General features: G+C 48.2%; 1 annotated feature.

The window, feature by feature from the left end:
• Positions 579 to 1477: an enhancer, noted in NCBI's record as "H3K27ac-H3K4me1 hESC enhancer chr2:106192987-106193885 (GRCh37/hg19 assembly coordinates)". NCBI's record gives its function as "activates a minimal SCP1, AML or CMV promoter by ChIP-STARR-seq in primed H9 embryonic stem cells {active_cell/tissue: H9 hESC(primed)}" and the evidence as "EXISTENCE:reporter gene assay evidence [ECO:0000049][PMID:30033119]".

The raw sequence follows: 18206 nt of genomic DNA, 5'->3' as shown, positions 1-18206 counted from the left end.
TTATACATCATGGAATACTATGCAGCCATAAAAAAGAACAAAATCAGATCCTTGACAGCAATAGGGATGCAGCTGGAAGCCATTATCTTAAGTGACTTAATGGAGGAACAGATAAGCAAATACCAAATATTCTCACTTATAAGTGGGAGCTAAACACTGGATACTCATGAACATTTAGATGGCAGCAATAGACACTGAGGACTGCTAGAGGGGGGACGAAGGGGAAGGAACAAATGCTGAAAAAGTACCTATTGGGTACTATGTTCACTACCTGGGTGATGGGATGAATCATACCACAAACCTCAGCATCATGTAACATACCCTTGTAACACACCTCCACATGTACCCCGAATCGAAAAGTTTGAATTACTTTACTAAAAAAACTTATTTATCACGAGGTCAGGAGATCAAGAGCATCCTGGCTAACATGGTAAAACCCTGTCTCTACTAAAAATACAAAAAATTAGCTGGGCATGGTGGCGGGCGCCTGTAGTCCCAGCTACTCAGGAGGCTGAGGCAGGAGAATGGCGTGAACCTGGGAGATAGAGCTTGCAGTGAGCCGAGATCAAGTCACTGCACTCCAGCCTGGGCGACAGAGCGAGACTCCATCTCAAATAAAAAAAAAAAAAGAAAGAAAAAAAACCTTATTTCTTCTTTCTAACTTATGTTTGTACTGACTTAATCATTACACATTCTGTGCATGTAAAAATATTCCACATACCTCATAAATGTGTACAATACTATGTATCAAAAATAAAAATAAATAAAAATTTAAAACTGTTAGTCAAAGAGAAAGTAGCCCAAGGACATGAAGAGGAGGGTGTGAGTCAGGATCTGTACAGATCGTGGGAAACGGAGCTTTAAGTCAGGGCAGCAGGAGGCCCTGAGGCCTGGAAGGGGTCAGGGCCAGCTCAGCAAAGGGCAGAAGTGGAGAGTAGCACTGGCCTCTGGCTTGTCTTTCCTTCTAGTCAACCAGGCTTCCAGCGTCCCCCACCCCCGGATCATGCAGAGGACAGAGCCTGGGCCTCACACCAGGGAAACTCACTCTAGTGCCACCTCTGCCCCACACAGCTCTGTGGCCTCGAAAAGTCCTTCTTTCCTCACTGGCCTCAGATTCCCTACCTGGACAGCCCACTTTGGACTTCCCATGGGCCTGGGCCCCTTCCAACTCTCACGTTCTCTCCCTAGTGGCGGTCCCCCGTCCCTGTTTTCACAAGGTGGGCTTGGAGGCAGGGCCCACCTGAGTGTGTGATGTCAAGGCAATTCAAGACCGGAGGGAGCTTGAGCTCTTAAGAAAGACCACACTCATAGGAGCTTACGAGACACACACTTGTGGATTTCAGAAAGTGTGTAGCTCATCGTTCTGGATCTGAAATACGTCAACAAATCTCTTTGTTTGTCTCTTTGTCCTGGAGATCTTTTCACAGAAAGGAACTGCAAACACCTCACCAATTTAAGTGACTTAGTCTTAATTCTTCATGACCTCTAGTGGCAGAAGAAGGACTCTGCTATTTGATTTTTCCAGGTAATCCTCTTTCACCCTTGCCTCCTCATTTCTCTGGAATCTCTTTCGTGTCCCCACAGTTTCCCACTCCCGTCGCGTCTGTTCTCCTTCAGACCATCTCGCAACCCACTGGCACGTCCCCATAGCCTCAGAAATCACCTCTCTGACTGCCCCCCCACCCGCTCCCTCCAGCCCTCCTCCCCCTGCTCACAGAGCAGTCAAGGAACGTCCTGGGCACTGGGGTCCATACAAGAATGAAGGAACGCGCCGCACACTGTGGCCCCCGGGCTGCCAAGCCTGCCCTGACTGAGCAGGGCACCTGGCGTCCATGCCCTTTATGCAGAGTCATTGGTGTGGTGGGGTGGGGTCAGCACCTCAGAGCCCCTGTGGGGTCTAATGCACTCTGTTACCCTCCTAAAAGATGAGGTACAGGCACTCTGTTACCCTCCTGAAATCCAAAAAGTACTGAATTCCGAAATACAACAGGCCCTGGGTGTTGAAGAAGGAAATGAAAGCCTTCGAGAAGGGCACTGTTGGTTTCCCACTCAGATTCCTTGTTCCCGATGGGCCCCTTTGGAACCTCTCTCTCTCCCTTTTCCTCTCCCTTTCCTTCTCTCCGCCCCCTCTCTGTCTCCATTATTGGATGGGTTTGGGAACGACATATGGCCCTGCCTGCCTCTGGCTGCGATCCTGCAACCATGCCGGGAGCCAGACCTTGGCTGAAGCTCACACAGAAAGTGGCAGAACAGAGAAACAGAAAGAAACTAGGTCCTTGAGGGTATCTTTGAGCCACTAATCTTGCCAAGCCTGGACCCACCCTCCCTCTGAACTTGCAGTTCTATGAGATAATACACTTTCTTATTGTTTGAGTTGGTCTTTTTTGCTTTCACTTTGAAGTGCAGATCCCATCCTTGCATACGCAGCTTAGAATTATTCTCCATCGTCTTCAGGATAAAGTGCTTCCACCTCAGCTCCGCTCAGAACAGAGCTCATGGTCCCCATCCCTCCTCCTGCTACCTCCTCCCTACCCCTGAGCATCCATCACTGCTAGTCCCTCAAGTAGACTCTCTCCTCCAGCAGCATAAAAACTACCTGCAGCTCCCCTGACTCTCCTGTGGCTTCACTCCTTCTTGCCTTTGAGAAGGATACTCCCTTCTGGAATGTGCTTTCTTTATTGTCAATCCCATGCACATTCTGCCTCAAAATTCTAAGCATTACCTTCTCTGGGAACCCCTTCTTAGTTCCCAGGGAGCAGGCTAGCAAAGGGGTTGAGAGGACAAGCCGAGGTTGAGAGAGGAGAGGACATTGCCAAGAATGGAAATCTGAAAACAGGAAAGATGGAAAAAAATTGGGTCATGGAGGTCCTGGATCAAGCTTCACCTGAAGGCAAATCTATTTTCAGGCTTTAAGTCTTTGTGAGTTTTAAATTTCCTGTATTGTTTATGTTCCTTGGGGTTAGTTTTGTTCATTTGTTTCTTGCAACTAAAAGCATTCCAAAATGCTTTTCCAAAATTCAGGTCTCTTAGGCTTTACCAAGGACTGGCAGCTTTTCAAGAGCAAGAACAAGAGCCATAGATTATTTAGTTTTCTAAGCCCTGTGTTAGAAGACACGCAGTAAGAGCTGGTTGAAATTAAATAAGCTTCTCCCTTTGGTAAGTTTTGGTTTATACATATATTTCAAAAATTCAGTTCTCAACATTGTTGGTTCAAAGAAAAAAATTACTGAATTCTAGCCAGGTTCAAGGTTTGTTCTTTTAAGAACAAAACTGAGTGTATGCTCAGCATGTCATATTTAAATTGCATTGAGGGCATAGACTAAAAATGGTCAAATCACATGCTCTTTATAAAAATGCCAACTTTTGATTAAAAATACATAGTCCCCCAATGATCTAACGTTTTTCCAATAGGATCTGAGGGTTACATATCTATTAAGATAATTTGTTTTGCTCTCAGAGAAGGCCTAATTGCCACTCTAGCAAGGTCTAGAGAGGCTGATTTGCCAACAGGTGTTCTGCTCCCCACTCACCAGTGCACAGGCTTCTGCACGTGCGTGGAAGTTCCGGCCCAGGGCAGCACACGTGGATCACTGTCTGGGAGCTGCACTTAAACCTGGAGGTTCCCTTGCAGAGCCACAGCTCTTTCCCACCCCACCCTACCCCTTCCTGGTCCTGCTGAGTAAATCCCTCATCACATAATGATGCCAACTTCATATCCTGCTTGGGAAACCATATGAAGAAAAAGACATCAAGCTGTTCTGAGAGGCTATTATTTTGGCAACATTGTTCCACGGTAATTTAGCTTGGTGGCTTAGCAGTGTGAGGTTCCTGTAGTCCTCCTGCGATAAGCTGGATCTTGCCTGCAGAGCAGAGGGAAGGTGGCTGGTAGGTCAGACGCCACCCAAAAAGCCTTGCTGACTATGCAGACTATCTAAAGCCATCACTCTGTGGTTGCAAATGGGAGAAATCCAGCTAAAAAAAAAAGACAAGAGGAATTGAGTGCTTATGTGGCTAAAAGTGTCATGACTTTAGGTGTGGCTGGATCCAGGTGATTGACAGAGGCTTGGAGCCAACATTTGCAGTTGAGGAATCCATCAAAATAAATTCTCTTTCCCTGCAGTTATGGAAAAAGCTATGATGCTTCCAATCAACTCAACTTCCTTGCTCCTTCCTGAACTATAATCATAGTGGATAGAGGGTGGTTAAGGGACTCTGTTTGGCCAGGCCTAGGTTACTTGGTTATATCCAGGCACAGGGTACATTCGTTTGCTAACGCTGCAAAGAAACAAAAACGAAAGCAAACAAACCAATCCCCAAAACCGGGTGGTTTAAAGCAACAGAAATGGATTGTCTCACAGTCTGGAGGCTGAAGTCTGAAGCCAAGGTGTTGGCATGGCCACACTCCCTCTGAAAGTAGTAGGGGAGTTCTTCGTTGCCCCTCTCTAGCTCCTGGTGGTTGCTGCAGGCTTTGGCATTCTGGGGCTTGTAGATGCATCATTTTAATCCTCAGTTTGCACATGGCCATTTTATCCCTGCGTCTCTTCACATTGTCTTCCCTCTCTGTGTGTTTGTGTCCAGATTCCTCCTTATGAGGACGTGAGTCATACTGGATCAAGGCCCTTTCTAATGACCTCCTCTTGACTTGATTACATCTGCAAAGACTCAATTTCCAAATACGATCACATTAACAGGTACTAAGGGTTAGGACTTGAACATATATTACTAGGTGTACATAGGGGAAGGGGAAGGGCACGATTCAACCAACAACAGTTGGTGGGAAGAGCTAAAACCCATGTGTGAAGTGGGCATGATAGTAACAGCACCTTCCTCACAGATTCGATGTGAGGAGTCAAAGCTCTTGCAAAGCCATCATCCCAGTGCCTGGTTCCTGCTGAGCACGTGATCAGTCTGGTTTTTGCTTGGGTGGTAACTTCTACAGTGGAGTCAAATTATACATACAAACTTGTGCACATTCAATTGCATGTGTGGAGAGAGACCAATTTAAATAAATTAAAGGGATTAAGAAATAGGGACATTTCCACCCCACCTCCCCCCATTCTACTCAGAGAGAACACTCAAGCAAGAGGAAATTGGAGGAGGGACTTTGCTGTTTCCTCAGATCGCCTTGGTCCCAGGCTCCCCCCATTGGGTAGAATGTGAGTCTAGGGTGGACAGAGGTCTCTTTTGTGCACATATGCCCCGAAATGCAGGCCAATGACATCACCTGGTGCCCAGGTTGGGAACAGGCTCTGGAGGAGATGCCAGTGTGCGGGGTCATGGAGCATGGCTCAGGGCACACCTCCTCAAACCGGCTGTAGTGAAAACCAGTGTCCTCCACCTCTCCCAGACCCCTGAAGGTCCAACAGTCCCTGACAGCACGTGACTCATACTGCCTGCATCTCAGCACATGCTGAACAGCACCTGCCCTGGTCTCAGACCCACCCACAAGCCAAGGCCACTGATTGCAGCTAGTGGCTGCTGCAGCCACGCCAAAGGCACAAGTTTCTACTCACTTGACTCTCATTTCTGTGCTTTTCTCATTGAGGGCTGGTAACAGACAGTCAGAGACCAGCCCTACCCATAGACCTCACTTTGAGGAGCCACGTGTCCTATTGAGATAACTTAGAGGGTATTCAGAATGGAGGCTGAATGAGACATCCCCCTTCCTTCACTCCTAAGCCCTACCCAAGACAGGCCTCCCCTCGGTAGAGAACACCACCTTTCCCTGTGTGTCTTCTTTCCAGTCCTTTCACCATTGGTTCTCCCTTCCTTAACCAACCTCTCTTCCCCAAATTCCCACCACACATCTCTAGCCTGGCCATCCCAGCCTTCTTGCCCTCCTAGCAGCAGAGTCATTCTTGCAGACATGACCTTGCCTTTTTCAAACTGTGACACAACCCAATATGACCAGACCTTGCTTTGTTTCATGGGGTCTTAAGTTTTAAAGAAATAAAACAGTGAGCCCGTTTGCTCCTTCATATAGGCTCTGGGGTCCTAATGGGAAGGGCTGGCAGGTGAGTGGGGAGAGGGAAAGGTGAGAAGGGGGAGTCAGCCTCATGGGGGGCATTGGGTAGGTGTAAGGAGAAAGCCAGTGGCCAGTGAGGACAGCCACACCTGCCAAGGACAGCCAGGAGGCCCCTCAGGGCTACCAGGGACACCTCAGCCTCAAACCAGGGCAGAAGAAGACCACACGTTTCTCTTCCTCTTCAGATCTTCCTCTTCTCAGCCGCGTTGTGGTAGTAATTGAAGGAGTTGGTGGTTGGTGATTACTCAGTGTAATGCTACTGATGAAATCGGTCATTCCGTGCCTGCCACACATCCAGGCCTCTCAGTTCTGACCCTGCTGCCCCAAGGCCTCCACAGGGACCCTTGGAATGTCCTGCTTTGCTGGCTTCCTGGAAAACTGGGGCTCTTGGTGACACTGGATCGCACTGGATCGCCCTGTATCCTTTTGTTCGTACTTCATATTTTGCAAGCACTGTGGCTGCAAGTTGAATGAGAACAATTCGAATGTCCATTGACAGTTGAATGGGAGAACAGAATGTGGTCTAGACATGCAGTGGAATATTATTCAGCCTTGAGGAGGAGGGAAGCCCTGACACATGCTACAATATGGATTAATCTTGAGGACATTACGCTGAGTGAAATAAGCCATCACAAAAGGAAAAATACTGCATGATTCTACTTGTATGACGTCCCTAACATCCCTAGAGTAGTCAGATTCACAGAGACAGAAAGTAGAATGGTGGGGGGTGGGTGTCGGGCTGGGAGGAGGAAGAAGGGGAGTTAGCATTTAATGGGTGCAGAGCTTGGGATGACAAAAATGTCCTGTAGGTGGATGGTGGTGATAGATGCACAGCAAAGTGAATGTACTCAATGCCACCGAACTGTATTCTTGAAAATGTCAAAAATAGAAATTGCATATTACATCTATTTTACCATAATTTTAAAAAGTTAAATTAACAAACACTTCATTGTGTTTGTTGTGCAGCTTTTAATGAAGACTCAGTCAGCACACATGGAGCACCTGCCTGGCCGCGGTCATGCCAACCCTGTTCCAGGAGCCAGCAGTGCAGCTGCAAGGCACCTTCTGTCCTGCAGGGACTTAGATTCCAGGGGAGGACAGGGGAGGAGGCAGAGAAACAAAAACAAGCAGTAATTTTAGGTAGCCATAAGTGATGGGTAGAAAAATAAGGCCAGGTAGGAGGCCGCAGAGGAAAGCTGGTAGGGGAGGGAGAGTATTCTTGATAGAGATTGAAGGGCCAGGAAAGCCCCCCAAACCCCACTCCAAGAGGTGGGATTTGAGCAGAGATCTTGGTGAATTTGGTGATGGAGGGGTGTGCAATCTGGTGCAGAGGCTCTGGGGGAGAGAATATTCAAGAACAACAGGGAGACCCTGTGATGGGACTCAGTGGGAAAGGCATGGAGTAGAAGGCGGTGGATCTGGAAGGGAGCGACACCGGGTGGTGTCGGAGCCTGTGCACCGCAGCGTGTCACCAGGTGTTGCTCTGAGGGGATGGGAAGCCCCTGGAGGGTGAGCATGCTCACCTATGGAGCCGCAGGGCTGAGTTAACAAGTTTCTTCCGGCTGCTGTTTGTGGCCTCTGCTGCAAGGAGGAAGAGAGAAGGAGCACTGGAGATGCATTTGGGGGTTGGTACAATGTTCAGAGGATGTTGGCAGTGTGGGCCGGCATGCTGGGATGGAGTTGGTAAGAAGGGGTTGGTCACAATATATTTCAACATTAGAGCCAGCAGGACCTGAGGATAAAATCGATGTGAGGTGTGAGGGAAAGAGAGGGCTCAGTGTGCTCTGCACACCTTCCGGAGGGGGCAGTTACAGAACGGCGGGGCTATTGTCTGAGAGAGGGGATCTCGGGATGGAGGAGTCATGCAAGTGTGGCTGTGTGATGGCTGAGGCTGGCTAGACATCCAGGTAGGGATGGCATGTAGGAAGTTGGAAATCGCAGTCTGGCTGAGGATTTTCAATTACTGCATGGAGATGGCATTCATAATTTAAAGCCACAGGAGATGAGAGATTACCTAAGAAGCGAGGGTACCCAGAGACTAGGATGAAACCCTGGGGCTCTCCATGGTTCAGATGCCATGTTTCTCTCCATGAGGCCAAGACAAGTAGGTCCTTCTGCATCCTGCTCCTCACTCACAGTGGCTGACGGGCTGAGGCATCTTCCTACTCGGCCGTTCCCAGCTCTGCGGCTCCCTGTTGCTGGGTATTCCTCTATGTGCTGCTTCCAGCTCAGGCATTCTCAGCCCTGGCTATACAATAGAATCACCCCGGCAGCCTTTCAAAAATACCATTGCCCTGGGACCATTCTGTATAAATTGAAATAGAATCTTTGGGGTGGGATGCAAAGCCTCTGGATATTTTGAAAAGGCAATTCTGATGCACAGTTGAGGTTGAGAACAGCATATTCCACGCGACTTGGTGCACATGGATGCATGTGTGCATTTTGGCTTGTCCCACAACCTGCTGTGGAGGATCTCTGGGTTCTTTAAAAAGAATGTCTTATGACAAAGCATGGTGGTTCATTCCTGTAATCCCAGCACTTTGAGAGGCCTAAGCAGTTGGATCACCTGAGGCCAGGAGTTCAAGACCAGCCTGACCAACATGGTGAAACTCTATCTCTACCAAAATTACAAAAATTGGCCAGGGGTGGTGGTGTGTGCCTATAATTGCAGCTACTCAGGAGACTGAGGCAGGAGGATTGCTTGAACCTGGGAGGCAGAGGTTGCAGTAAGCTCAGATCGCACCACTACAATCCAGCCTGGGCAACAGAGTGAGACTCCAACTCAAAAAAAAAAAAAAAAAAAAAAAGAAAGAAAGAAAGAAAAAAGAAAAAGAAAAGAAAAAAAAGTCTTACAGCTGGTCTGCCTGTTCTCAAGCTTCTGTGGTCTTAGATATTAGATCCAGGTGGATTTGTCACGATAACTGGACCACAAGAAAAAAAAAATAAAACCCAAGATATATCTTACAAGAAAACACTTGTAAATTGTTCTCCTTTTTTATATTGGTCTGTTGGGTATAATTTCAGCCATTTTTCTGTGCATTTAAAAGCATTTTTATGCACAAATGTAATATATTGTTTTGTTTGGGGTGGGTGTATATATTTATACTAAATATATAACACTACAATTTGCCTTTCTTTTTTCACTTTAACAACATGACCAGGAACTCTTTTGATAGGGGAATGCGAAGGCCTGGTCTGTAGACCCTAGTATATATGGCTACATTTAAGTTTAATTAAAATTAAATAAAATTTCAAATTCAGTTCCTCCATCATGCTAGCAGCCGTGTCTCAAGTGCCTGGTGGCCACATGTGGCCATGGCTGTCACACCGGACAGCACAGATAGTGAACATTTCCATCGTCACAGAAAGTCCTACGGGACAGCGCTGGGTAGGGCATTCTTAGCTAAGGCGTCCTCACCCATAGCATGGATGTGTAAGAGTTAGAAAAAGAATTTTTTTTTTCAAACCTTCAGTGAAGAGAAAAGAACACTTTAGTGAGGTCTTTCATGTGAAAAAGTAGGTCACAGCAAATAGTTTCTCCAAGGGGCGGAAATCAATTCCGTGAGAGTATGAGGTGGCAGCGAGGCATTTAGAGCTCAAAGACTTCTCTGCAAATGGTTGTTTCGCCCTTGCTTGGAGGTTTTTAGATTCCCTTGCCACCTTTGTCATCTGCAAACCGTAACGACACCCCTCACACCCTGGTGTTTTCCTGACTGCCTCAAAGGCTCTCCTTGCACACCGCACCCCACCGTCTTTCACTGCGATGCTGCCTCCGTATTCATGGGCTTCCCGTGTCCGCTGCTCTGTAAACAGTCTGGCGAAGACCTATTCTGCAGGGGTGTCATTTATTCTAAGGTGAGAGAATGCATATGGATGAGAGTGCCTCAACGAGAGAGCATAGCTGTGTGCTCTCCGGTGTCCAGCACTGACCCGATGATAGCATTTAACTCTCCCTGGGAGGGGACGCAGTGCTTTAAAAACATTCCAGACGCTCCCTAATGGTTTTGCCTGAGTCTCTGGCATCAGAATTGGCAGGTTCTTGTCTACAGGTATTGAATGCACAGGGTCTCACTTCTTACTGAGAAACTACAGACACAGGGGGCAATGAGAAAGGAAGAAGCCCCAAACGCAGCTGACTTATAACTAAATGTTTAAACACTTAAAATGTTTAAACACAACACACATTCTGAGTTTGGATGGATACTGTGTGGAATGTTTAGTTAAATGAATCATGCTTATGCTGTTTTTTTTTTTTTTTTGAGATGGAGTCTCGCTCTGTCACCCAGGCTGAAGTGCAATGGTGCGATCTTGGCTCACTGCAATCTCCGCCTCCTGGGTTCAAGCGATTCTCCTGCCTCAGCCTTCTGACTAGCTGGGACTACAGGTGCCCACCACCACGACCAGCTAATTTTTGGATTTTTAGTAGAGACAAGGTTTCACCATGTTGTCCAGGATCGTCTCGATCTCTTGACCTCGTGATCCACCCACCTCTGCCTCCCAAGTCTGGGATTATAGGCGTGAGCCACGGCGCTGGCCCATGCTTATGTATTTTGACTGCTCTCTTTTGTTTTTCGAGTAATTATTCATTCATTCATTCCATAAATATGTATCAATTGCTTAACCTGTGCCTGGTAGTGGGGACGCCTGGGTGAACAGGACAGGTGTGTCCCTGGTCCCCAGGGCGCCTCATAGTGTTAGAGACAGGCAGACCACCAAGCAAATACCCCATGGGGTGATCACTGCTGTGGTAGGGGAAGCTTAGCACCCACTGGGAACATCAGGGAGGGACACTTAACCAGATTCTTCCTAATAAGCATTTTTCTTATACCTTTACATCTTGATGAACAAGATCAAGTGTAATGAACTTTAAGCTCTTTTCCAACTCCTTGCTTTGTAAAGGGCAGAGTGAAAACAAGTCCTTAGCACCAGTGAAACAGGATAAGGAATAGGAATCTTCTTCCCAATTTCACCACTGACTTTACCAGCTACTTTACCAAGCAACTAACCAAGAATAAACCATGGCTTTGTCAGTTCTTTTCTCAGTGTCAGACCTCACTGGTTCACTCAGATCCGGCACTCTCAACATGGGGTTAGCGATAGACTCAGTGGCTTGAGAAACACCCTCGAGCCATATCCAAACTGCTTTCAGTGTGCCTAAGTGCATGTTCACATTATTGAAGGTCCATGAACCCAAAGTGATTTAAGAACTAGAGATTCTAGGCATCTGAGGTGTTTGAAAACAGCAAGCTCAATTCTCAAATATTTTTGGTCTTATTCCAGGCCATGGTGGGGCGGTGTAGAGAGCACAATCCAGCCAGGGGATGGGAGGAACAGTGAGAGGGGACGTAAGTGCAGGGAACATTAGCATTTGGCCTCAGCTAAGGGCTCCAATCTGAAAACGCTGAGGCCTCCCTGAAGGCACATTCCCTGACCTCCCATGCAGGTGCCTAGTGGGGAGGTCCTCACTTTGCAGACACTCTTGTTCCATTAGACACCTCGGTCACTTCACACATCCTGTCTATGTCATCCTTAAGACAAGGTTCTGGGATCAATCGTATATCCATCCTTTTACAGGTGATAAAACTGAGGTCAGAGAAGTTCAGTGACTTTACCAAGATTCCACAACTCATCAATGACTGAGGGCTTAAACTCAGGCCTGTCTAATGTATGCTCAACTTGGCCTTCATGTTAGAAACCCTGGAGATCACATAAAGCTCCCAGAGCTGATGCTGACCCCAGACCAGTTAAATCAGAATCCCTGGGGTGCTGTAATCCCAGCATTTTTGGAGGCTGAGGCGGGCAGATCACTTGAGCCAGGAATTCAGCCTGGCCAACATGGTGAAACCTCATCTGTACTATAAATACAAAAATATTAGCTGGGCATGGTGGTGCATGCTTGAAATCCCAGCTACTCAGGAGGCTGAGGCAGGAGAATCGCTTTAACCCGGGAGGCAGAGGTGGTAGTGAGCCAAGATCACACCACTGCACTCCAGCTTGGGCAACAGAGTGAGATTCTGTCTCAAAAAAAAAAAAAAAAAAAAAAAAAAAAAACAACTCTGGGGGTGGGAGCGCCAGGCACTGGGTGATTTCACTGTGCATGCACCCTATTCTATATGTTTCTCTGCAATGCCATGAATATTCTTTGGAGCCACTTAAGACAATGACAAGGCTTCTGCAAATTAGTTTTCCAGGCATAGGTTCCAACTGAGGACCATCATTTCCTCGAAATGCTAACATGTCCTGATGTGTACTGCTAACCGCTCAGATAGAACATGCAGTGGCCAGTGTGGCACACAGATGCCCTTCACTGAAGCCCGGGTCAATAAAGACAACCACTGTATTCGTCAGGGTTCTGAAGAAAAACAGACCCATAGGAAATATGTTTATCTCTAGAAAGAGATTTATATAAGGAATTGGCCCACAAAATTATAGAGGCTTATAAAACCCATGATCTGCCATCAGCAACTCTGAGGCCCAGGAAACCCAGACAGTGGTCATTTCAAGGCCTGGAAGCCAGAGGGCCAATGGTAAAGATTTCAGTCTGAAGTCAGAGAACCAGAAGAATGAGGGTAGGAAGATCCGTGTCCTAGCTCAATTTATTAGGCAGAGAAATAATTCAATCTTCCCCTACCTTTTTATTCTGCTCAGGCCCTCGATGGACTGGATGATGCCCACTCACATTGAGGAGGACTGTCCGCTTTGCTCAGCCCACCAATTCAGATGCTCATCTCTTCTAGAAACACTCTCACAGACACACCCAGACATAATGTTCAACCAGCTATCTGGGCATCCCATGGCCCAGTCAAGTTGACACATAAAATTAACCCATTGCAATCACCATGGAAGGAGTTGCTGCATTGGTGAGCTGTTGTGTCAGAGGACAAGTTCTTATTCTCAGCCATAAGCCCCCAGTAAATTCACACCCATCCAGGAACTAGTGACTAGTCAGGAGACAGTCAGGAGACACCACGTGAAGGAAGCGTTTGTTTGCCACTGACAAAGGTTGCTTCCCTGAAGTCTCCTAGGTAATGATTGAGTATAGGTCCCAACTTAGGGATGGGGAAAACCTTCTTATATGGCCTGGTCTCAGTATAGCAACTAAAGGCTGCTTTCAGTGAGGGTGGTGGCAGGGATTGGCTCAAAAATACTATTCAAGGCAATTCCCAGCCCAGATGCACTAGAAATTGCTTGAATGAATTCCAGTTCCATTTATATCATCCCAAAGCACTCTCAGATGCTATGTCTATCACCAGAGGGGGTGTTAACTGTCAGGCAGCCAGAATAAAGGAGTGGACACAACTGATGGGGAAATAGCATCTGCACATCAGAAAGGGCTGGATGGATCAAAACAAGGATCGCAGGAGAGGAACTGCAAGGCACTGAGCGGCCACTCTAAGTCCCAGGGACCTCGAAGTCTTTATCCTGCTGAATGCTCACAAACCACCTCTGAGGCAGGACCGGTCTCCTCACTTCACACGTGAGAGAGTCAACATTCAGAAAAGTCAGTGCTGAAGCCTGAAGTCACAGGTTGGGTGGACAATGGAGCCAGGCTTTTCCCAGATCTCGCTGAATAAACTGCTCACGGGCTTTCTATTCTACTGTATGTTGCTGAGATGACCGTCCCAGAATGGCCCCACCCTTGCTAAACTGGGAGCTGCCTGGAACTAAGGTAAGCCGCTGTGCTGCTGCTGCGCTGGGCTTCGGAAGTGCCAGGTGCTGGCCTGTGAGCCGCACACAGCTGTGTGCACTGCCCAAGCCCCAGTCCCTCCTGCTGAATCAGTTCCTCACAATTGGCTTTATTTCATCTTAAATTGCTCAAAATAAGGGCAGAGCTATTTGACAGGGAAAATAAAATGAATCCTCCACTGCAGATTTCTATCTCGATGCTACAAAAAGCTACTATGTGGGAATGGACATGAAGGCAACCTGGGGAGCGACTATTGTTTATCAGAATAAGTCGACACAAGCGACAACACTGATTTTCAGCCAGACACCTGAGGGCTTATTACTGCACTCAAAAAAAAAAAAAAAAAAAAAAACTCAGTCAGTTGGAGTCTAAGACATGAAATGAAATCATTTTTACAGCTCATAGCACATAAAGAGAGATATAGAATGTGGAGGGGAGAGTGTGGGACAATACAGAGTTGGTATAGCACCATTGTCTGAGTGTCTACTGTGTGCTTTATACCCTCCCAGCCTAATGAGCGGGTGCCGGGCTCCCATTTTTTGTATTTATACACTGAGGCTCATGTAGGCTGAGAAACTTGCTAAAGGTCACACCGCAGGTTGATGGCACAAGATACCAAGTCAGCCCTGCTTCACACCTTTGTAACTGCCCTCATTGGAAGGAATGGCTGGGTGGGAATGAGCTCAGATGGCTCAGGAACACGCAGATGAGTGGTTTTGGAATGGAAGGGAGCCACCAGGCTCAGAGTCCATCGCTGTAGCAGGAAGCAAACCCCAGGGGTCGCCTGGTGCAGTTGCAAGGCTTCAACGGAGACCAGAAGCCACCACATCAGCTGAGCTGACCTCCCGTGAGGGCAAAAGCCTCTACTCTATGCAGAATCCACCTTCAGCCCACTTAATCCCACATCCCACTCAACAACAGAGAGATCGGCTTCCTCTGTTCATTTGTTTTTACCACTCCTCCTCTGCTTTGAAATCTAGTTTTCAGAGTATGGACTTTAGCAGCTCACATGCCAGGGTTTCAGCTTGAACTCTGCCTGTCACTAGTTGTGTGACCTACCTTGGATGAGATACCGACTTCTGTGTCCACATCTGTAAAATGGGTTATCAAGCAAATTAAATGAGGTCATCAGAATAAGTGAGGCAGCTTTGCACACCTGGTAGGGGCTTGGGTCTAGAGTGTCACCTGTGATTTTCACCCCAGCTCTGCCACTTACTATCTGTGTGACCTTGGGCAAGTTGCCTATCCCTCATAGCCTCAGTTTCCCCATTTGCAAAATTGGGTCAATCATAATACTTACCTCATGATATTGTAAGAGTTATATAGGTTACTACGTATGAAACTGTTATGGGTACATACAAAATTCTTCATAAATATCTATTTTGCTCCCCAGGAGTCATTTGGCAAGGTCTGGAAACTTTTTTTTTTTTTTTTTTTTTTTGAGACAGGGTCTCCCTTTGTCATCTAGGCTGTAGTGCAGTGGCACGAACATGACTCACTGCAGCCTCGACATCCTGGGCCCAAGCAATCCTCCCACCTTAGCCCCCGACATAGCTGGGACTACAGGTACATGCCACCACCCCTGGCTAATTTTTGTATTTTTAGTAGAGATGGGCTTTCACCAGGTTGCCCAGGCCAGTCTTGAACTCCTGAGCTCAGGCGATTCATCTTCCTCAGCCTCCCAAAGTTCTGGGATTACAGGCGTGAGCCGCCGCGCCCCGCCTGAAGACATTTTTGATTGTCGTACTGGGAGTGGGGATTGCTACCGGAATTGAGTAGATAGAAGCCGGGGACACCGCTAAATAAACGTCTTACAACGGACAGGACAGCCAGCGAAAAGGAATTATGTGGTCCAAATTGCAGTAGTTCTGAGGTTGGAAAGCCGAGGCCTTGGGAGTCTGGGGCTCTGCCTTGCGGCGCTGACAGGCCTGGGAGCCTTTATTCACACAGTGTAAGATTCGCACTTGTGCTGAGCGTGCGAGCCCACTCCCAGGTTTGGCCATGGTGCCATTCATGAAGGCTTTTTACAATGAGTCCCTCGGTTACTTGTCTCATTGGCACTGTCTTGTGGTTCCATCCTTTGTTGCTACCCTCTGTAGCTGATGCTGGGCTCATGGAAGGGACACACTCAGCTTCCAGCTGGTTTCCCTTTTCTGTTCTTTTTCTGCTCCTCAAGGGCAGGGCCATCCCTGAGGTCAATGCTGTCTGAATTCCAGTGTCTGGGCCTTCCCTGTGGGAGCTAGTTGCTGGGCATGGCAACATGGCACAGCCCCGTGCTCGCGGCTCCGCTGATAATGTGTTGCCTACTGTGACATGGGATGTGGACCCCATAGACCAATGCCCCTGAGTTTCTTGCTGGAGATGGTCCCAGAACATCTGAGAGAGGCTGGAGATGGTTGTAATTAGACCAACTTCTTGTGTTGGGCCTGTGGAGCCCACAAGTTTGGCTTGGGTTGTGCCAGAGCCAGTTTGCAATACTGCCCCCAGCTCAGCTCCTCTGGAGAGCTGGGCCTCCACAGTGTAAGAGAGGAGAGTAGGTTTCCCACAAGGGAAACCTTGTTCCTGAGTAGCCTTTGGTGGGGGTGGTGCTGGAAGTCAGCTCCCCCAGACTGTGACCTTCCTACTCTCCAGCATCAGGGACCTGCAGTGGAGAGGCGGAGTTTCCACCCAGGGAACAAAGACCAAACCACGCACCGCCCTCCACTGGGGTGGTGCAGGGCCCGACACACACGGGTCTGCCATGGAGGCTGTGCTCAGAGCTCCAGCTCTCCTCGTCTGGTAGAGGTGGGGGGAGCTTGGGAGCTGCCAACAGTGGCCGAGGGAGAGAGATGGGCCCTTGGCAAGGAGGGCGCAAACCTCCTAATGCACAAACATACCGCTTAGGGACTGGGAGAACTGTCACAAATCAACATGGTGTTGTGCAGGCTGCCAAAAGGGCTCATGAGTGAGCTGAAGACCAGATAGGCAAGCCCCTTGGAAATTCCATTGCAGGGTCCTGAGGATGACGCAGGACCCCCTGCAACATTCATGGCAGGAAATGAACATTAAATTAGAGCCAGGCTTGCTTCTTCCCACTAAGAATAGCCAAGGGCACGTGGACAAATGAAGAGCACTTTTCCCTCACGGTTTCAGGGATGGCGCTGCTGGCTGAGGCAGAAGCTCCAAGGAGTCACAATCTCTAGAACAGGCATGCTCTTTCTCTTTTCTATGGGGAGTGGGAGGGATGGGGGATGCTGACTTGTTTAGTTGTCTAAAGAGCCACACAGCTGGAATTTTCCCCACAAGCTTGAACTATAGACATCAGAAGATGTCTATTGAATATCTTTGATTGGCAGGAGTCAAAATGTATGCCGCCGAGACGACACCCACACACCCGTGTTCACAACAGCCCAAGAGTGGAAGCAACTGAAGTGTGCATGGATGGATGGGTGCACGGGCAAAACGTGGCTTATGTTATACAGTGGAATACTACTCAGCCTTAAAGAGGAAGGAGAGTCTACACATGCTGTGATGTGGATAGACCCTGAGGTCATTCTATCCAGTGAAATAAGCCAGTCACGGAAGGACAAACACTGCATGATTGTACCCACATGAGGTACTGGAGTGGTCAAGTTCACAGAGATAGACAGTAGAAAGGGGGTTGTTGGTCTGGCAGGAGAGAGAAGTGGGGAGTTGTTGAATGGGTAGAGTTTCTGTTTGAGAGGTTGAAGAGTGCGGGAGCTGGATGGTGGTGATGGCTGCACAACTGTGTGAATGTGCTTAATGCCACTAAATTGTACACCTAAAAATGGTTAAAATGGCCAATTTTATGTCATGTGCGTTTACCACAGTTAGAAGTAAATAAATGAATAAATTTAAGAAGTCAAATGCTACTCAACTACCTCCTAAGAGCCCGCGGCCCGGGGGTTTTGACAGAACTTTATTAGACACATTGGGAAGTTTCCATCCAAACAGTAGCAGTGAGGGGCTGATGCGTGGGCTTCCTAACCCACATTCGCAGGCCATGCAAAGCAGCACTGGCTCCGCTCCTCATTCGTGGGGTTTGGGCCGCCCAGCAATCCCCACTGGCAGAACCAGCAAGGGGCAGAGAGGGAGAAATGTTCCCCCTACTACACCCAAGCCCAAAGCCGAGCACCTCCAACCTGTCGCCTGGCTGTGCTGGCAGCACGGGCTGACCCCATGGCAGAATCAGCACTTGGATGCCTGATGTGGTGCTTCTCCTTTCAGCCTGGCTCAGGTCTGAACGTGAGGGTCTCAGGGGTCCTGTGACAGTGGCCACTGGAAAGAAGCACCCAATTTGAGAGCTTAAGAGTTAAGATCCCACCAATTTCTGAAGAAACCTGAAGTCTGGTCCTGAGTCAGGATGGTGACGAATGCAGACAGCATCCTCCCCAGAGAGGGGTGGAGGGTGGGAGTGGAGGTGGGGGATGCACAAACCTCAGCACACCAATGTGAACCCTGCAGTGAGCCTGATAGGCAGTACCCGTGGGGTTC

The sequence above is a fragment of the Homo sapiens genome, chromosome 2 (genome assembly GCF_000001405.40).
Source record: "Homo sapiens chromosome 2, GRCh38.p14 Primary Assembly".
NCBI classification, from domain to species: domain Eukaryota; kingdom Metazoa; phylum Chordata; class Mammalia; order Primates; family Hominidae; genus Homo; species Homo sapiens.
Note: the sequence above shows the minus strand (reverse complement) of the source record. Positions and strands in the feature narration are given on the sequence as shown.